Raw genomic sequence first — 20,523 nt, forward strand, 5'->3', positions numbered from 1 at the left:
CCTAATGGTTAGTGATGGTCAGTATCTTTCCATGTGCTTCCTAGCCATTTCTGTATCATCCCTGGAGAAATGTCTGTTCAAGTTCTTTCCACATTTTTGAATAGGGCTGTTTGGTTGTTCTGTTGTTGAATTTCAGGAGTTCTCTATATATCCTGGATGATGACTGCTTATCGGATTCATGATTATAGGGACTGCATTAAATCTGGGATTGCTTTAGGTAGTAGTAACATCTTAACAATATTAAGTCTTCTAATCCATTAAGGTAGAATGTTTTTCTATTTATTTGTATCTTCTTTGATTTCTTTCAGCAATATTTTAGTTTTCTCCTCCTTAGTTTATTCCTAAGTATTTTATTCTTTTTGATTCTATTACAAATGAAATTGTTTCCTTCATTTTCTTTTGGGATTGTTAATTGTTAGTGTATAAAAATGCAATTGATTTTAGTGTGTTCACTTTGTATCCGGCTACTTTCCTGAATTTATTTCTTAGTTCCACGAGTTCTTTTTTTTTTTTTTTTGGTGGGATCTTTAGGGTTTTCTACATATGAGATCATCTCAACTGTAAACAAAGATTAATTCCTTCCCCTGGGTGCAGTCGCTCACGCCTGTGATCCCAGAGCTTCGGGAGGCCAAGGTGAGTGGATCACTTGAGCCCAGGAGTTCGAGACTAGCCTGAGAAACATGGTGAAACCCCATCTCTACAAAAAAAAAATAAAAAAATTAGCCACACGTGGTGGCATGCACCTGTAGTCTCAGCTACTCGGCAGGCTGAGGTGAGAGGATCGCTTGATTCTGGGAGGTCGAAGCTGCAGTGAGCCAAGACTGCGCCACTGCACTCCAGCCTGAGTGATAAGGCAAGACCCTGTGTCAAAAACAAAAAAAAAACCAACCAAACAAAAACACACATACATATATATAAATATATATATATAATGTCTTTCTTCCTTTCCAGCCTGGGTGCCCTTTATTTCTTTCTCTTGCCTAACTGCTCCAACTAGAACTCACAATATTGTGTTGAAGAGAAGTAGTGAAAGAGGGCATTCTTGCAGTGTTCCTGATTTTAAAGAAAAAGCTTTCAGTTTTTAACCACTGAGTATAACGTGGGGTTTTTTTTTTTTTTTTTTTTTTGAGATGGAGTCTCGCTCTGTCCCCCAGGCTGGAGCGCAGTGGCATGATCTCGGCTCACTGCAAGCTCCGCCTCCCAGGTTCACACCACTCTCCTGCCTCAGCCTCCCGAGTAGCTGGGACTACAGGCGCCCACCACCACGCCTGGCTAATTTTTTGTATTTTTAGTAGAGACGGGGTTTCACCATGTTAGCCACGATGGTCCTGATCTCCTGACCTCGTGATCCGCCCGCCTCGGCCTTCCAAATTGCTGGGATTACAGGCATGAGCCACCACGCCCGGCCCACTGAGTATGTTAACTGTGGGGTTTTCTTATATGGTTTTTATTATGTTGAGTTAGTTTCCTTCTATTCCTAGTTCATTCAGTGTTTTTATCATGAAAGGGTATTGAATTTTGTTAAATGCTTTTTCTCCATCAACTGAGATAATCACGATTTGGTTTTTTCCTTCCTTTTAATGTGGTGTGTTACATCGACAAATTTTTGTATGCTGAATTATCTTTGCATTCTGGGAATAAATCCTACTTGGTCATGGTGTAAAATCTTTTTAATATGCTGCCGAATTCAGTTTGCTAGTATTTTGTTAAGGATTTTATCAATGTTCATAAAGAATATTGGTCCATAGTTTTCTTTTTTTGCAGTGTCTTTAACTTCTTATTTAACATATTTTATGAATGGCAATGATCAAGGCTGTTAGAAACTGAGACCCAGAAGGTAAATAATATTTGGATGTCTAACAAGAATTTAGTCGAATTCCAATCAACAGCAGGTAAGACGTGTGCTCACTGTATCCTCCACCTTACAGGTACAGCTAAGTGACATTACACGCCATTAACCATAACACAAATATAACAAATAAAAACTTACCTAATCTGAAGGTCCAAAATAATTTGCCTTTTGTCTACATTTTCAGTGTATACCTTAACACCATTGATCCTGAGGGGCTGAAATAAGAAGTAGCTTATTTTAAGATACAGAGGTTAAAAAAAAAAATCAAACCGTGTAACATACCATAGAGACAAACAGAACAAGCTTTAAATTTCAGACTACAACAGGAATTAAAATTCTGCCTTCATAACAGAGTGTGGCTTGATTTTCAGCTATTTAACACCTGTTCCTCACCTTCCTCCCGTGAGCTGCAGAAAACAAGGGCCTCTGTTTCATAAGATTACTGTGAAATTAGGTGACAAAATAAATGTCAAGACAGCAGTGCATGCCTTGCCCACAGCAGTTAATAAGCACTGGGTATGATTGCTGTTGTCAGCACATGTAACAATACGTATGTGCTCTTTTCAAGCTTCTTACTCTCGTCTCTTCACATCTAACTTGACCCTTTCCCTCTACTCCATCCTTACTACCATGTTTGAAACATAACTTCCTTTCATTTATTCTTTATGTCTCATAATTTTTCATTTCTTAAGACTTTCACGCCCAGGCGTGGCCGCTCAGGTCTGTAATTCCAACACTTTGGGATACCAAGGCAGAGGACTGCTTGAAGCCAGAAGGTTTAAACCAGCCTGGGCAACATGGTTAAAACCCTATCTCTACAAAAAGTAAAAAAAATTAGCTAAGATGGTAGCGCACACCTGTGGTTCTAGCTACTTAGGAGGCTGAGGTGGGGAGATTGCTTGAGCACAGGAGTTTGAGGCTGCAGTGAGCTATGATTGTGCCACTGCACTCCTGACTAGGCAACAGAGTGAACCCCCATCTCTTAAAAACAAAACAAAACTGGGCACAATGGCTCAAAGCTGTAATCCCCGCACTTTGGCAGGTGGAGGCGGAAGAAACACTTGAGCCTAAGAGTTTGAGACCAGCCTGAGTGGAGACCCCCATCTCTACAAAAACTCCCCAGGCGTGGTGGCGTGCACCTGTAGTCCCAGCTACTCGGGAGGCTGTGGTAGGGGGAATCCACTGAGCCCGGGGGGGTAAGGTTGCAGTCGGTGGTGATCACGCCACTGTACTCCAGCCTGGGTGACAGAGTAAGACCCTGTCTCAAAAATGAAAGAAGCACTTTACCTTTAGAGTACTACTGCTTACTTTGACAAGCATGAGTGTATTAAAATCACACCTCTCAACGAGCTGTCAAATCAAACTCTAAGCCTTTACTTGAAAGTCTAGCCACCTCCTATGCTCCCAAGTTCCCAGGCTTTTTCTTTATGGTACTAGCTAAGCCATGTACAGACTGCACTAAAAAACACAATCAACACACTATTCTAATAAGTGAAAATGGGGCAGGCATGATGTGCATCAGATAACATACTCCCCAAATGACGTGGAGATGAGGGGACCAACCCCACTCCAGATGACTGGGCATTACCTAATGAAGGACAAACACCAGAAGGCAACATTGCCCAGCTGCCGGGAGTCTTGGTCAGCACACAGTCTGGCCAAGGACCCTGCACAGGACTCCACATGCCATTCTATCCATCCCTTCATCAGAAAGCCTGGGTTTGACACTTGTAAGACATTGGTACAGTAGATGAAAATGCCAAAGCTATCTTTATTGAATCAGCACTCCTCTTAATACTCTTGCTATTCTCCAAGGATTTCCTTATTCAGCTGGTATCAAACTTAAAGTGTGTGTGATGGAACTCAAACATAATTAAATTATTCCTAAAATAAACCCAGCTGAGATGGAATTTTAAATATCCACAAACACGAACATGCTGTAACTTAGGGCATAACAGGCTAAATGTGCCTTTGGCCTGACTCTACAGCCCTGGAGCTAGTATGGTTTTCACCTGGCTAAAGGGCTGTAGAAGAAGGGAGGGAGAGACAGCAGGACAATGCAGCCCCTGCGGCCACGTACAGACAGAGCATGCAGCCCCTGCGGCCATGTACAGACAGAGCATGCAGCCCCTGCTTTACAGCATTTAACTTGTCACTGGGACTTTAACCTGCACTCACATGGCACTTTAACTTGTAATTGTGTTTTTTCCCATCTGTGGTTACCATTTTAGGTGTTGAAGGTAAAGTCAACACTGAAAGTGTCCTACAGGCGTCCCGTGTAGAGACATGGGCTCGTCCTACGGGCGTCCTGTGTAGAGACATGGACTCTTGCACAGGATGGCCACACCTCAGGCATGTCACAGGAAAAGCAGCAGCACATACAGGCAGGTGTCACACGTAAGGCTGCACAGGAGGCACGGGGTCTGGAGTAACTGCTTCTGAGACAGAGCATTCTCTGCACACAGAAAGTCAGCTCTGATGGAGAAAGGTAGCCAGCAGCCTGGAGATCATGGGGTGTACACTGGTGCCCACTAACAGGTGGCAAATACACAGTGACCATGCCAGACCCTCCCACAGCCACATCTATCACAACCCTGAACCGCACTGCACGGGGATGTCTGTTTGCTGACTCTGCTGTGTGTGCAACAACGTGTGCAGACTGTGTGTGTGTTTACAAGAACTATCACGTTCTGAGTCTTTAGGCATATAAAACAATGTTACCTTGGACTGTTGCTACTTAAACACTGATTTAAAAATAGAAAAAGAAAAACTTCCCATGATCAACTAAATGTACTCTTGAGGCTTTTATGAAAGGTGGTATTAGGAAGTATCAGCTTTCCTTTTTATATAATGTGACTCCATTAACAAAATCCATCTTTTCTTCCACTTACGTAATGAATGTTGTACCTAACATACCAGCATTAGAGTCATTAGTAGTTTTGTTTTTTAACATCCCGAGAGGGGTAAACACCTTAAACTTGTCAATTACTGCACATTTAGCATGAATTCACATATCAAACTCGCTCACAGGAAAGACTACTTAAAACTAGTGCTTCCGAAAAGGGCGTGCTGACAGAAGAACGTGGAGCAGAAAGACACGTGGTGGAGAAAAAGTCAGTGTTAAAGAGAAGCCATGAGACGGAGGCTGACATGGCCAAGACGGCACCGCGGACAAGAAGGCAGCAGGATGGCCTCCCGGCAGATGGGAAGGGGCAGTGCGGGCGAGAGGGAAGCAGGACGGTCTCCCAGGAGAGACGGGAAAAGGCACCGCGGCGGGAGGCAGAGCCTGAGTGACAGACAGGAAGGGGCACTGCAGGCGAGAGGGCAACAAGACAGCCTCCCAACAGACAGGAAAGGGCACTGCAGGCGAGTGGGCAGCCGGAAGGCCTCCCGACAGAGACGGGAAAAGGCACCACGGCTGGAGGCAGAGCCTGAGTGACAGAGACAGGAAGGGGCACCACAGGCGAGAGGGCAGCAGGACAGCCTCCCGACAGACGGGAAAGGGCACTGCAGGCGAGAGGGCAGCAGGACAGCCTCCCGACAGAGACGGGAAAAGGCACCACGGCTGGAGGCAGAGCCTGAGTGAGAAACGCACCCGGTAGACCTTGGTGAACAATTTTCTTCAGAACATAATTTGAAGCTGTCTGTTTTTTGAAATAGGGTCTCGCTCTGTCACTCAGGCTGGAATGCCGTAGTGTGATCATGGCTCACTGCACTCTCCACCTCCTGGGGCTCAAGTGATCCTCCTGCCTCAGCCTTCTATGTAGTTCTGACCATATACGTGCACCACCACACCCAGCTAACTTTTAAATTTTTTTGTAGAGACGGAGTCCCACTTTGTTGCCCAGGCTGGTCTCAAACTCTTAAGCTCAGGCCTCCCAAAGTGCTGGGGTCACAAGCATGAGCCACTGCTTCCAGCTGAAGTTGTTTAAAAAACATATACCCAGCTAGCTGGGAGGCTGAGGCAGGAAGATCACTTGAGCCTAGGAGTCTGAGGCCAGGGAGGGCAACATAGTGAGGCCCCGTCTGAAAAAAAAAAATTTAAAAGAAAATGTGTTTTTCGGCCAGGCGCGGTGGCTCACACCTGTAGTCCCAGCACTTTGGGAGGCTGAAGCAGGCAGATCATGAGGTCAGGAGATCGAGACCATCCTGGTAACATGGTGAAACCCCGTCTCTACTAAAAATACAAAAAATTAGCCGGGCGTGGTGGAGGGCGCCTGTAGTCCCAGCTACTCGGGAGGCTGAGGCAGGAGAATAGTGTGAACCTGGGAGGCAGAGTTTGCAGTGAGCCAAGATAGTGCCACTGCACTCCAGCCTGGGCAACAGAGCGAGACTCCGTCTCAAGAAAAAAAAAAAAAGAAAATGTGTTGTTTTGTGTTTTCACAGCAATCTGACTGTGTGCACGTGAGGATACTTAAGAGAACACTGACCTGCTGGCCCACGTCGACCTTCGTGAAACTAAAGGTGCTAAGGTGGGTGTTTGCTCCCCGCACGGCTGGTTCTATAGTTTCTCGAAACAACTTCTCTATAAATTGGCAAATGAAAGGCCACATGTGTTTTACAGTCTGGAAAGGAAAAAGAACTCAGTTTAAACAAAATGCTATATAATGCATGACACACACGAGTGCTCGTGAGAAACCCTCGCAACAGACCAAACCTGGTTTTGAAAATAAAGGGCGGGAGGATCTTGTTGTTATGCAAAATCAACATGATCTAAATTCTAAAAAGTTATTAGAAAAACCAACTACTGATTAACCAATATGTTGCAGGAACTAGTTATTCTGGTTAAATATGTCAGCACATTTAAAGATTTCTAGAAGTCCTGTGGTTTCAACTTGGTGCTGAAAACAACATTAATATTTATATAGTTCTTCAATTGTAATCCCAGCATTTGGGAGGCTGAAGCGGGTGGATCATCTGAGGTCGGGAGTTTGAGACCAGCCTGACCAACATGGAGAAACTCCATCTCTACTAAAAATACAAAATTAGCCAGGCGTGGTGGTGCGTGCCTGTAATCCCAGCTACTCGGGAGGCTGAGGCAGGAGAATCACTTGAACCCAAGAGGTGGAGGTTGTGGTGAACCGAGATCATGCCATTGCACTCCAGCCTGGGCAACAAGAGTGAAGCTCCGTCTCAAAAAAAAAAAAAAAAAAAAAAAAAAAAGACTGTTATTGATTATTGAATTTCTTGTAAGTTATTTCTTTCTTTGTCATGTTTTTTAAAACTTATGATTGTTATAAAATAGACTTGAGCCCTGGCTGTTCAGAAAAGAAGACACATGGCCAGAGACACAAATATGCACATGCCTATACTTTTCTCAAGTCAAAGAGACAGTTCTCACTCTCTGGAAAGAAAAGAAATGCATTTGTTGTGACTGAGGTCTTTGGGGACCAGAAGCCAACCCACTAAAGTCCAAACGAGCTCAAATATTACCAACATGCAAATCCCCAAATATGGAAAGATGGTATCTCATCCTCCAATTCCACTGATGGATGGTAGTTGGTATACTCTAATCTTACCTTATTTAGCCATTCTGCTCTTTCAGTGTCTGGAAAATGAACCTAGGAGGAAAATACACACATATGACTTATTAACTCCCAACAACTGTAAATAAAATGTCAAGCAGGCAATTTCATATTCTCATCATACGTCCTATGTTTACAAGATGCTTCTTTAAAACACTCTGCTCTAAAGCTTGGGAAACTGGTCTCCAAGGAGGGAAAGTGAAATGCATGGCACCCCAGCTCTTTACGTTCTGAGAACACAATGAGCAAAAAAGTTGTGTGTGGAAAATGCCATCAGAGTCTTCTCTGCACCCCACTGTCCAGAGGAAATTCACTGGAATCTGAAACATCATAAATTATACAAAACTGACCTCTACCTTTTTAAAAAAACATGTTTCTAATTTGTCAGTAGTATTATCATCATGTCCTGGCAATCTAGGCTCAGAGCCCCTACCCTTCCCAGGCCAGCCGTGGTGGCCCAAACCTGCAAGTCCCAGGTACTCAGGAGGCTGAGGTAGGAGGATCCCTTGAGCCCAGGAGCTTGTCTGCAATGTGCTACAACCATGCCTGTGATTAGTGCTGCACCCTAGTCTGGACAACATAATGAGACTCCATAAAATAAAGTAACAAAATATAAACTAAAATAAAATTCACTCTTCCCTTTTGCTTTTCTCTTTTGGCCCAAACCAGCTAAGAGACACCTTTCCTTACATGGCTCCTCTCCATACCATCATCTCCCACCTTCACCCAGATAGGGATCCCTCTTACAATTCTCCAGGTAGGGCCTGGATACTGGAGAAGGGTTTGTACAGGAGAAAAGAAACCTATTTAGGGCCAGGCATGGTGGCTCATGCCTGTAACCCCAACACTTTGGGAGGCTGAGGATTACTTAAAGCCAGCAGTTCAAGACCAGCCTGGCCAACATATTCTTGCAAACCTCTTTTCTATGCGTTTATAAGCATGTATAACTTACATTAGACATGTTTCTATACACATTTGCATATGCGTATGATATTTTTAAGACTATGTGGCCTCTTAATTTTTTTTTTTTTTTGAGACAGAGTCTCACTGTCACCAGGCTGGAGTGCAGTGGCGCGATCTCGGCTCACTGCAACCTCCGCCTCCCGGGTTCAAGTGATTCTCCTACCTCAGCCTCCTGAGTAGCTGGGATTGCAGGCACCTACCACCACGCCTGGCTAATTTTTGTATTTTTAGTAGAGATGGGGTTTCACCATGTTGGCCAGGATGGTCTCGATCTCTTGACCTCGTGATCCGCCTGCCTCTGCCTCCCAAAGTGCTGAGATTATAGGTGTGAGCCACCGATCCCGGCCAAGGATATTTTATTTTAGCCCCAATGGCAGAGAAAATATTTTCTTTCTTTTTTTAAATCCAGAGACAGGGTCTCACTCTGTCACTCAGGCTGGAGAGCAGTAGTTCAATCACGGCTCACTGCAGCCTGGAACTCCTGGGCCAAAGTGATCCTCCCGCCTCAGCTTCCTGAGTAGCTGGGACTGGGACTACAGGCATGTGCCAACTGGCTAATTTTTAAATTTTTTTAGAGACAGGATCTCACTATGTTGTCTAGGCTTGTCTTGAACATCTGGCCTCAAGCAATCCTCCTGCCTCAGCCTCCCCCTGTGTTGGAATTACAAGTGTGAGCCACTGTGCCCAGTCCACTTTTTTTTAAATAGGTTTCTTTTTCTTTTTTCTTTTCTTTTCTTTTTTTTTTTTGAGACAGACTCTCCCTCTGTCATCGACGCTGGAGTGCAGTGGCACGATCTCGACTCGCCACAACCTCCACCTCCCAGGTTCAAGTGATTCTCCTGCCTCAGCCTCCCGAGAAGCTGGGATTACAGGCGGGTACCGCCACACCCTGCTAATTTTTGTATTTTTAGTAGAGATGGGGTTTCACCATGTTGTCCATCACTGCCTCACTGTAGGCATGGGTGCCAACCCTTGCCTGTGTGGTGACATCAGCACCCCCCGAGTGGCACAGAAAGCACGTGCAGTGAGGCAGTGATGGACACGAGCACGGGAGGAGGCGGCACCCATGCCTGCAGTGAGGCAGTGATGGGCAGGAGCGTCGGAGGCGGCGGCACCCAAGCCTGCAGTGAGGCAGTGATGGACAGGAGCACGGGAGGAGCTGCCTGTAGTGCCCCATTCTATTCTGGAATGAACAGAGAAACCCTCTGCCCAAATAAGCTTTGAATATAAGTGAACTGGCTTGTATTAGAATTTACTGGTTAACTGGCTTGTATTAGAATTTACACAAAGTGGCTTTGAAAATCGAGCCGTCTCTTAGTAGTGTTATCCCAAGGCATTCAATAGTTCTGAGGTTTTTCATCTATGAGTGATTATCCCAATGTGCTAAAGAAAAAGAGAAAGAGAATATATCAGATTTGAACAAAGCAAATCTGTTACGAAATTTTAAATTCTGTTCACTAAGTCAAAAATCTGCTTCTCGCTAATACATATTCATAAACATTTGCTTATTTTGCATAAAACAGAATCTAAAGTAGCAAAAACATCACAGAGAAAGACTGGGACACACAGGGATCACAGAAAACACAGTCCTCAATCACACAGGAACACAGGAACACAGATTCGGTTTTAAATCTTATCTTTCAACTTAAAGACTCAAATCTCTCTTAAGTTCTAATTATAAAACAAATTTCAATATTTATATTATCTGTATGAACTAGAAATAATCATTGTACGATTATTCACGTTTCTATTATATTTGAGTTGACACCACCCGCAAAAATCTCTTTAATGTTATCTTTTAAAAGAACAAAGGCGTATTTTAGATTCTAATACGCTGCTATTACCAAAGTTGTTTTGTTTAGAAAAATTAAACCAAATATACAAAGACAGAACATTTAACTGTGCTCCAGGAACTCTACATACAATATTTTGTTTAATCCTCACCAGAACCTTTGAACAATTAGTGGCTCCATCTAACAGAAAACAAAACGCCTCGGGGGAACAGGTAGAATAAAGAGATCCAGACCCAAAGGACTCCAGAGTCCTTCCTGCTATGCCCTGCTGAAGTATACAGGATGGAATTGACATAACTGGTCAAAATTTTCTTGCCAATTAAATCATATTCTTCCTATATCCAAACATAAAAAAATTGACAGCTAACATTTAAAACAAAAATTAAGTAAAAGGAATGTCTTTCTTCAAACAACATTCCCCTTGAAGACCAGTATTAACAATCAGAACTTGCACAGGATTTTATTGTTCATAAATTCCATGTCCTATGCACGATATAAGCATTTTTTTTTTTGAGATGGAGTCTAACTCCGTCACTCAGGCTGGAGTGCAGTGGCACGATCTCAGCTCACTACAACCTCCTCCTCCCGGGTTCAAGCAATTCTCCTGCCTCTCGAGTAGCTGGGACTACAGGTGCCCGCCACCACAAGTGGCTAATTTTTGTAGTTTTAGTAGAGACAGGGTTTTGCCATGTTGGCCACGCTGGTCTCAAACTCCTGGCCTCAAGTGATCCCTCTGCCTCGGGCTCTAAAAGTGCTGGGATTACAGGCATGAGCCACCACACCAGGCTGATATAAGCACTTTTAATTACAAAAAAAAGTACAGCAGGCACTTGACAGGGAATGTAGAGGAGTTATTTTAAAATTCCATTAACATTAGTAACACTGAAACATGCAGTATCAATTCTGCTGACTCATTCCTCTTTAAAAATTAATAGCCTAGAATAAGTTTAGATAGGTAATGTCTGAGACAATATGAAGAAAGATGCTACACCTGAGGCATTGCTGATTTAATACCTTTAAGTAAAATTTAAAAGATAAATGGATAAAATGATTCTTTTAGAAACAAAATGCCACTAAACATGAAATCATGAACTTGCCAATCAAGTTCATTTATTCAAGATTCTTCCTCATTCCAAGAAGGATTTGAGCTTTGCTCAATGCTGCATAACCCTTTAGGCACTATTTTAAAAAGAAAAAAACAAAACACACAAAATTCTTACTGGAAGCAATGGTTGGTTGCAAGGAAGAATTCTTTCCCTCTCTTAGACCACAACTAAAGGGGAAGGAAGAAGGAATCTGAGTCCCTGGCACAGCAATCGAGAGTGTGCCCTGGGGCAGGCCCCACCAGCATAGGTGGGGGCCAACGCGCCGTTCCCCGGAGCACACCTAAGTGAGAGGGTCACCCATTTACTGGCCATCTGAAAACACCAACGTTCCTACACCACTTGGCTAGTTCTACGTTAAGCCTATAAAATGAACAACATCTAAGCGGGTAGCTTTGTTTCCTTGTGTAAAATCAACACAGTCTCAAAAATGGAACAGATAAGGCAAAAAGGACCAGAGAACCTCGGTTCTACAAGAACATGAGACGCCTCTTCTTTATCAGTTACATCACAATAGAAATCGGAAACTCTGGTTTCTAGAAGCCTTTAGGCAAGCAACACACCCTTACTTGGAAGCACTCAGCATACTACAGGTTTACTTAAACAGATGTGGCCTGCGTTCAAATAATTCAGTCTGGAGAAATACTAAAAACGTTAAATATTTAAAATGTTTTATATTGTTCTCTCTGAATATGAATTAAAGTCAGCGCAAATGGTCAGAAAGACTTGCAGAAAGTTAAAACTGCCCAGAAAATTTTGGTTCACACACAGCACAACAAAAGGGAGTCCAAGGTTCTAACACACACAGAACACCTTCCTGGAGCAGCCAGGACTTGGGGACTGCTGAGAAAGGTGAGGCGCGCGACAAACCCAAACCGCCGAGAAGGGTGAGGCGCGTGACAAACCCAAACCGTTGAGAAGGGTGAGGCGCGCGACAAACCCAAACCGTCGAGAAGGGTGAGGCGCGCGACAAACCCAAACCACGGAGAAGGGTGAGGCGCGCGACAAACCCAAACCGCCGAGAAGGGTGAGGCGCGCGACAAACCCAAACCGTCGAGAAGGGTGAGGCGCGCGACAAACCCAAACCGTCGAGAAGGGTGAGGCGCGCGACAAACCCAAACCGTCGAGAAGGGTGAGGCGCGCGACAAACCCAAACTGTTGAGAAGGGTGAGGCGCGCGACAAACCCAAACCGCCGAGAAGGGTGAGGCGCGCGACAAACCCAAACCGTCGAGAAGGGTGAGGCGCGCGACAAACCCAAACCGTCGAGAAGGGTGAGGCGCGCGACAAACCCAAACCGCCGAGAAGGGTGAGGCGCGCGACAAACCCAAACCGCCGAGAAGGGTGAGGCGCGCGACAAACCCAAACCGCCGAGAAGGGTGAGGCGCGCGACAAACCCAAACCGTCGAGAAGGGTGAGGCGCGCGACAAACCCAAACCGCCGAGAAGGGTGAGGCGCGTGACAAACCCAAACCGTTGAGAAGGGTGAGGCGAGTGACAAACCCAAACTGTTGAGAAAAGTGAGGCACGTGACAAACCCAAACTGCCGAGAAAGGTGAGGTGTGTGACAAACCCAAACTGCCGAGAAGGGTGAGGCGCGTGACAAACCCAAACTGCTGAGAAAAGTGAGGCGCGCGACAAACCCAAACTGCCGAGAAGGGTGAGGCGTGTGATAAACCCAAACTGCCGAGAAAGGTGAGGTGTGTGACAAACCCAAAGTGCTGAGAAAGGTGAGGCGCGTGACAAACCCAAAGTGCTGAGAAAAGTGAGGCACGTGACAAACCCAAACTGTTGACAAGGGTGAGGCGCGTGACAAACCCGAACTGCTGAGAAAAGTGAGGCGCTTGATAAACCCAAACTGCCGAGAAAGGTGAGGTGTGTGACAAACCCAAACTGTTGAGAAAGGTGAGGCGCGTGAAAAACACAAGCTGCCGAGAAGGGTGAGGTGCATGAAAAACCCAAGGCCTCATTCAGTGCTTTCCAAGAAAGCTGGTGTCCTGCACTGGAGGGAAGAGAAGCACTTCTGTGGGGCCTGGGGAAAAGCAACTCAGAGCCACCTCTTCATATTATCAGATTACGATGAGAAAAAGTATTAGGGACAGTATTCCTGACAGTGGACGAGACTTCCAGGCACACGGCGCTTCAATGTTTAGAACTGTAAGGCACGAGGATCTGACGGAGCACTTGTTAGCTCTCCACATCAGTGGGGATCTCTGCTCGTCCCCACAGCTGGGCTGCTGAACTTAGCAGTAGAGTGACTTAAATATAATTTGGTACCAACACAAATTTGTGCCTTCTGATCTTTGTATAATCAAATGTCTTTACTCATCTCCCAAACTATCTGTCCCTCCTCAAGATCCTCAAATCCTATCTGCCTGTCTTCTCTAGAGACTTTGGTCAGTATTCATGGAAACTGAAAAAGCAGGTTAGAAATCTTGATTAAATGGTATTTTTTTCAAAGATATTAGGATGCTTTATCCAAATAGTTGCTTCTACAAAGAAAGTAGTCAAGGTTAAAAAGGTAGAGAGGAATCTAAAAACATCTGTCAACCCTGTAATAAGCTGTCACAGTATGGTCAAATTACTACCTCCAATAGTAAAAGGAAATTGCAGAAGATAACCATTTTTATCTATTTCTAGTCTACATAAAAAGCAGGCCATCAATTAATTCACACAGTAAATAAAGCAATTGATCTTTTCCAAAATCCACAAGGTTGTAATTTTCTCTGTGGTTTATGGGCTTCGATTACTGCAACAGAGTAACTGGATACCCTAATGCTTTGGTGCAATGACACTGCTTAAAAATCCATCTGTTTAAGGTCATTTCTTAACAGAAAACATTTTCAAAATTCTCCCCAGGTGCTTTTTACATTAATGAGAAATTTCACTAGGAAATCCGAAAAGACACTAATATCCCTGAAGTTTTTAACTGAGACCACAGGTAGTGATCATGGTCACTCCTTGACTTTCTCACCACAAATCAAATGGTGTTGTCTACCAGAGCTATGGCAAATTGTTGCTTTCTTATGTCACCTAAAACTCTTAACAGTGTAAAATAAGGACTCTTGCCACGAAAGGAATGACGGCTGAGCCACAGCTGTGGCCACCATGGGCCCCAGGGACACAGGGCTCTTTTGGCCTGAAGGAGGACACTAGCAGCAGAGCCGGCGCCGGGGCACACCGCGTGGGAGGCGCCGGGGCACACCGCGTGGGAGGCGCCGGGGCACACCGCGTGGGAGGTGCCGGGGCACACCGCGTAGGAGGCGCTGGCGCACAATGCGTAGGAGGCACTGGCCTTGAGAGGGCTTCCTCACTGTTTGCAACACTTCATCACTATTTCTTCATTAGACAAGTGACCATCACCTATTCTGGTAGATCAGAAAACAGAGTCAAAGAAAAACTTAAAAACTAGGTTGATCCCAGCATACCTTTCATAACAAAGCTGTCTAAGTCACTTGAAATCCAAGTCTTAAATTCCTAAGAGAACGTACCCTGAATTTCATGTTATATCTGACATATACTCTTCCTCTATCCATTTATTTTTTAAAGGGGTTAAGCCCCCTTTTAGTGCATGCGTGAAATATTAGGAGAATTTAAACCAGGACTAATATTCAATGGCAGAGTCAAAACAGGGATGCCTCACAGCTTCTACTCAGGAGAACAGGGTATCCCTTCATGGAAACACTAATGTCAACAGACTTATTTACATATAAACACGTCCGTGAAGAATATTTTTCAAAGATTTGAAGCATATTCTCACAAAATTCTGAAGTCCTTTAGACATTTTCCTGTCTCTGCTAAAAGAAAGGTCACACAATTATTTCATAATCGTGATTTAAGCTGAAGTTCTGGCATGAGTTACATCAATATCACAAATTAAAATGAGTCCAAGAATAGGAAATCTGTCTTCTCATCTCCTCCACTGAAACACCTAAGACAATCCGGTTGTTTTTATTTTAAATTTAAATCAAATGAATATTAATTCAAATATACACGCTTATGTTTTGACTGGAATGGATTAAAAGATAGATGGGCAATTGTAGCACTGAATTAATTGCATATATTCTGTATACTACTTAAATGAATCCAGCTTTGTGTGACTATATACATAGTATATATAGTTTATTCTAATATATATATATGAGAAACTACATGAGATTGTAAAAACAGGGTTATTTGAAACCCCGTCTCTACTAAAAATACAAAAAATTAGCCAACCGTGGTGGTGGGCGCCTGTAGTCCCACCTACTCAGGAGGCTGAGGCAGGAGAATGGCATGAACCCGGGAGGCAGGGTTTGTAGCGAGCCGATATCGCACCACTGCACTCCAGCCTGGGCGACAGAGCAAGACTCCGTCTGAAGGAAAAAAAAAAAAAAAAAAGAATTACAGAAGTGACTGGAATACTAAAAATCTATCTACATGGATTCAGAATTAACATCGGACTTAAAATTTATCTGTGAATTTTACATTTTGAAGAAATAAGTTTATGTATCTCCTAGGAGCTTAACTTTATTCTCATGCAGATAGGAAATTATCGCGACTTATGAGAAGGAGGTCGGAAATTTACCACCCTAAAACTTACTGTTTCCTTTTTAATTATTTATTTGTACACAATGAAGAAACAGTAAATAATCAGACACATGAAAACACTAGTACTTTTTTCCTGAATATGTTCATTACCTTCACTGGATGTTCGATACCAAGGTTCCAGAACATCTTTCCCAATTATAGCCTGTGTGCCTCACTGCTGTTTGCTGTTACACATTCCCCATAAAGGGTCAGACAGGAAATATCTGGGGCACTTACGGGCCATGAGGTCTCTGTCACTACAACTCAACCACAGTTGGAGTATGAACTAATGAGCACGGCTGTGTTCCAAAAGAACTTTAATATGGTCACTGAAATTTGAATTTCATAACATTTTCACCTCCTACAAATTACTTTCTTCCAGCCATTAAAAAATGTAAAAGCTGTTCACTGGCCACAAAAACAAAAAGGAGGCCAGGCTATGAGCTGAGGCTTGCTGCCCGCTGAGAGGGATGCGCAAACCCGCAAAAGGATGGCGCCACGGGGTAGGGCCGTCCAGCCTCTCTCTCCAGAGAGCAGGCCCCACAGCTCCAGGTGCAGAAAAATGTCTGCCAAACATTCCTTTTTTTATTAGAAATACCCCAAATCTTAACATTGGGGTAACTAAAGTGTTTGAAAACTGAACCCACTGACCTGGATCCAATTTGTTACCTATTACAGAAATCCCCTACTTATCGGCAGTTCCACTGTGATTTCAATCACCCGCAGTCAACCAAGGTCAGAAAATATTAAATGGAAACTTCCAGAAACAAACAATTCGTCAGTTTTAAACCGCATGCTGTTCTGAGTAAGGTGATGAAATCTCACTCTGTCCAGCTCGAGACACGAGCCCCGTCCGGCACGTTCGCGCCGAGCATGCTCCCGCCCACTCACCTGTGCTGTCTTGATCGTCAGCTCAAGTGTCGTGGGATCGACGTGCTCATTTCAAGTCACCTTTATTTTACTTAATGGCCCAAAACACACCAACAGTGATGTTGGCCATTCAGATATGCCAAAGAGAAGCCATTGAGTGCTTCCTTTAAGTGAAAAGGTGAAAGTTCTCGACTTACTAAGTATCATACGCTGAGGTTGCTAAGATGTAAGAACGAATCTTCCATCTGTGAAACTGAAGAAGGAAAATAATTTCATGCTAGTTTTGCTGTCACATGTCAAACTTTAAGATGGAAAAGGCATTAAATTTGTGGCTGGGGCCTGGCACAGGGGCTCACATCTGTAATCCCAGGACTTTGCCTGTAATCCCAGCACTTTGGGAGGCTGAGGCCGGCAGATCACTTGAGGTCAGGAGTTCAAGACCAGGCTGGCCAACATGCGAAATCCCATCTCTACTAAAAAAAAAAAAAAAAAATTAACGAGGTGTGGTGGTGGGCACCTGTAGTCCCAGCTACTTGGGAGGGGCTGAGCCACGAGAATTGCTTGAACTCGGGTGGCAGAGGTTGCAGTGAGCCGAGACTGCGCCATTACACTCCAGCCTGGGTGACAGAGTGAGATTCTATCTCAGAAAACAACAACAACAACAAAACAAAACAAAACCAATAAATAAACAAATAAGTTTGTGGGTAGAAGACAAAACAGATGTTCTGATTGACAGCAACTGGGTTTGGTACTATCTTGTTTCACTGGGGATCTTGGAAAATATCCCCCACAGATAAGGGGGGGCTACTGTAGTAAACTTTGGATCACATTAAGCCAATTAAAAAATGGGCAAAAGTGACGGGGCGTGGTGCGTGGTGGCTCATACCTGTAATCCCAGCACTTTGGGAGGCCAAGGCGGGCGGATCACAACGTCAAGAGATCAAGACCATCCTGGCCAACATGGTGAAACCCCATCTCTACTAAAAATACAAAAAGTAGCTGGGCGTGGTGGCGTGCATCTGTAGTCCCTGCTACTCGGGAGGCTGAAGCAGGAGAATCGCTTGAACCTGGGAGGCGAAGGTTGCAGTGAGCCGAGATCGCACCATTGCACTCCAGCCTGGCTACAGAGTAAGAATCCATCTCAAAAAAAAAAAAAAAAAAAAAAACCAGGGGGGATGAGGGGGGCAAAAGTATTTGTATAAACGCTTCTCCAAAGAGGATATAAAAATGGCCAAGAAGCACATGAAAAGATGCTCAACATTATGAGTTAGAGAAATACAAATCAAAATCACAATGAGGTATCACTTCATGCCCTCTAGGATGGTTAAAATATAGACAGTGTTAAGTTTAGCCTAAAGCTGTCTCCTTAACACATTGTAAGTTTCAGCCTGAAGGTTTCCTAACTGGATGTGTGAAGAGACTGTAGCATACTCTTAGGCCAATCACCAGGTTTTGGCCAATCACAGGCAGCCAGCTGTTCAAACCACATCCAAATAAGGCAAATGCAGAACTATAACCTGGCTGGCTGTTTCTGTAGCTCACTTTCTTTTTTCTGCTCATAAATCTTCTTCCACTACATGGATGCACTGGAGCTTCTTTGAACCTATTCTGGTTCAGGGACTGCCCAATTTGTGAATCATTCTTTGCTCAATTAAACTACGTTAAACTTAATTTGTCTGAGATTTTCCTTTTAACAACAAGTTTTGATGAAGACGTGGGGAAATCGAACTCTCATTTGTTGCCAGTGGTAATGTAAAATGATGTAGCCCCTTTGAAAATCAATTTAGCATATTCTCAAAATATGTAAACACAGAGGTACCATATGACCCACTCTACCCACACGTATATATGCAACAGAAAGGAAAACACACATCCACACAAAAACCTGTACATGAATGCTCACAGCAGCATGATTTATATTTGCCTACAAGTCAAAACAGCTCAAAGGATCATTACTTGATAAATGGCTACACAAAATATAGCCTTTTCATACAACAGAATTATTTGTCAATACAAGAAATGAAACACTAATATATGTTACACTATCTAGTAAGTGAAAGAAGTGGGCCGGGCATGGTGTGTCTCACATCTGTAATCCCAGCACTGTGGAGGAAAGCTGACAGGCAGGAGGATCACTTGAGCCCAGAAGTTCAAGACCAGCCCAACACAGTGAAGCCCCATCTCTACAAAATATCTGAAAATTAGATGGGCATGGTGGCACATGCCTGTGGTCCCAGCTGCTCAGGAGGCTGAGATGGCAGGATCACTTGAGCCTGGGAGGTGGAGGCTGCAATGGGCCGTGATTGCGTCACTGCGCTCCAGCCTGGGTGATAGAGCGAGACCCTGTCTTGGGGGGGAAAAAAAAAGGCTCATCATAAAGACTACATGTTATAATATTTCATTTACATGGGATGTCCAGAAGGTGTCTTCCTCTAGAGACAAAGCGAATTACTGGGTGGCTAGGGTAGGCGTGACAGGGAGAGCAGTGGAGGGGTCTGAGGATTGAGGGCTGATGGGTATAGGGTTTCTTTACAGAAGACAAAAGGATCTACTAAGAGATTTCGGTGATGGTTGCACAATCCTGAGAATATACTGAAAAACAGTTAATTGTATAGTTTAAATGGCTGGATTGTATGGTATGTGAATTATAGCTCAATACAGCTGTTAAAAAAAACAAAAGGGGTAAGGCGCAGTGGCTCAAGCCTGTAATCCCAGCACTCTGGGACGCCAAGGTGGGAGGATCACTTGAGCCCAGGAGGTCAAGACTGCGGTGAGCCATGATTGCACCACTGCACTCCAGCGTGGCAACAGAATGACACTGTCTCTTAAAAAATAAAAAATAAAAAATTAAAATTAAGAAAAAAGAAATGAATATCTCAATCTATAAAACACATACTGCTTTTACCATGGCCCATTTATTTTAATTAGATACTTCCCCAAATAATAACAGAACCAAGTAAGTAGAGCCAGAGGACCCAAAGTAAATCAGTGGCCTAATTCAGAGTTCCTTGTTCGTGGCTTAACCAACCAACAAAGGTACCCAGTGAGCTATCTGGTCCTTAAAGAGCACATGGCTCAGCTCAGTGATAAATGAGGGGCAAAGCCATTCCATTGTGGGTCCCAAATTATCTGCCAAACTAGTTAATCACTGAGAAATACATCAGAACTGAAATATTTGGTGAGACCATAAAGATGAACCATGCGCGTTCACAGGAACACACAGGCGCATGAACACAAGCTCCCGCACATGTGCACAGGCCGCCACAGCTCACACACACACCTGCAAACACTGGAAACATTGCAGGATTCAGGGGAGGCGGAGACCACAGAGTGGTGAGTCAACTTTCTATGGCTGTTCTCCTTCAAGGTTGTGCTACAAGAGGTTGAGAAATCCAGAGAAATGTGGCTGAGATTCAAAGAAGCCAACAGGGTTTATGGACGTCTCAGGAGACTGGCGGGACAAGAACTGGAGTCTGGGTCAGCTAAACAACCAGAATCTGAGGGGCCAAGATCCCTGAAAGAGGAAAGTGGGAAGAAGGGTACAGTCTCTTTCAAGAGGAATTTGCTAAATTCCTAAGCTACCCAGGGCAAGAGGCTAGCCTCGAAGGAGCAAAACAGAGCTTCTGGCAAGATGCTGTACTGAGAAAGCACAAACTGGACTTTGGGACAGACCAGGAGGCACTTAGGAAACACTGCAGACTCCCAGTCACAACATCTGGAGGGCTGGGCCTTACAGCAGAGAGTATCAGAGGCAGCCACAGCTTCCCCCTGCCACACAGCCACAGGCCGGCTCAGACCCACCCTGGAGAGGGCAGCCTGTGCCCACTCTGCCTTCCAGAGGACGGGGGAGC

At 44.3% G+C, this 20,523-nt stretch overlaps 1 protein-coding gene across 7 annotated transcripts in view, besides 5 other annotated features; it reads right to left on the minus strand.

Annotated features, from left to right (window-relative positions):
• The window catches only part of ESYT2 (extended synaptotagmin 2), a 98,513-nt gene that overhangs the window by 60,663 nt on the left and 17,327 nt on the right, over window positions 1-20,523 (minus strand). For 6 of the 7 annotated variants that reach the window (XM_024446846.2, NM_020728.3, NM_001367773.1 and 3 more), the window contains exons 2-4: window positions 7,372-7,413; window positions 6,283-6,417; window positions 1,991-2,067 (exon numbers count right to left, since the gene is read on the minus strand). In XM_024446846.2, coding sequence (XP_024302614.2) covers window positions 1,991-2,067; window positions 6,283-6,417; window positions 7,372-7,413 — 254 coding nt within the window. Of the gene's footprint in view, window positions 1-1,990; window positions 2,068-6,282; window positions 6,418-7,371; window positions 7,414-9,624; window positions 17,815-20,523 lie in introns of those variants that run through there. The other variant, XM_047420658.1, reaches the window with a different exon arrangement.
• Window positions 5,221-5,720: an enhancer, noted in NCBI's record as "H3K4me1 hESC enhancer chr7:158589571-158590070 (GRCh37/hg19 assembly coordinates)". NCBI's record gives its function as "activates a minimal SCP1, AML or CMV promoter by ChIP-STARR-seq in primed H9 embryonic stem cells {active_cell/tissue: H9 hESC(primed)}" and the evidence as "EXISTENCE:reporter gene assay evidence [ECO:0000049][PMID:30033119]".
• Window positions 8,896-9,396: an enhancer, noted in NCBI's record as "H3K4me1 hESC enhancer chr7:158593246-158593746 (GRCh37/hg19 assembly coordinates)". NCBI's record gives its function as "activates a minimal SCP1, AML or CMV promoter by ChIP-STARR-seq in naive H9 embryonic stem cells {active_cell/tissue: H9 hESC(naive)}" and the evidence as "EXISTENCE:reporter gene assay evidence [ECO:0000049][PMID:30033119]".
• Window positions 9,397-9,897: an enhancer, noted in NCBI's record as "H3K4me1 hESC enhancer chr7:158593747-158594247 (GRCh37/hg19 assembly coordinates)". NCBI's record gives its function as "activates a minimal SCP1, AML or CMV promoter by ChIP-STARR-seq in naive H9 embryonic stem cells {active_cell/tissue: H9 hESC(naive)}" and the evidence as "EXISTENCE:reporter gene assay evidence [ECO:0000049][PMID:30033119]".
• Window positions 12,495-13,086: an enhancer, noted in NCBI's record as "H3K27ac-H3K4me1 hESC enhancer chr7:158596845-158597436 (GRCh37/hg19 assembly coordinates)". NCBI's record gives its function as "activates a minimal SCP1, AML or CMV promoter by ChIP-STARR-seq in primed H9 embryonic stem cells {active_cell/tissue: H9 hESC(primed)}" and the evidence as "EXISTENCE:reporter gene assay evidence [ECO:0000049][PMID:30033119]".
• Window positions 19,788-20,362: an enhancer, noted in NCBI's record as "H3K27ac-H3K4me1 hESC enhancer chr7:158604138-158604712 (GRCh37/hg19 assembly coordinates)". NCBI's record gives its function as "activates a minimal SCP1, AML or CMV promoter by ChIP-STARR-seq in naive H9 embryonic stem cells {active_cell/tissue: H9 hESC(naive)}" and the evidence as "EXISTENCE:reporter gene assay evidence [ECO:0000049][PMID:30033119]".

This window comes from Homo sapiens, chromosome 7 (genome assembly GCF_000001405.40).
Source record: "Homo sapiens chromosome 7, GRCh38.p14 Primary Assembly".
NCBI lineage: Eukaryota > Metazoa > Chordata > Mammalia > Primates > Hominidae > Homo > Homo sapiens.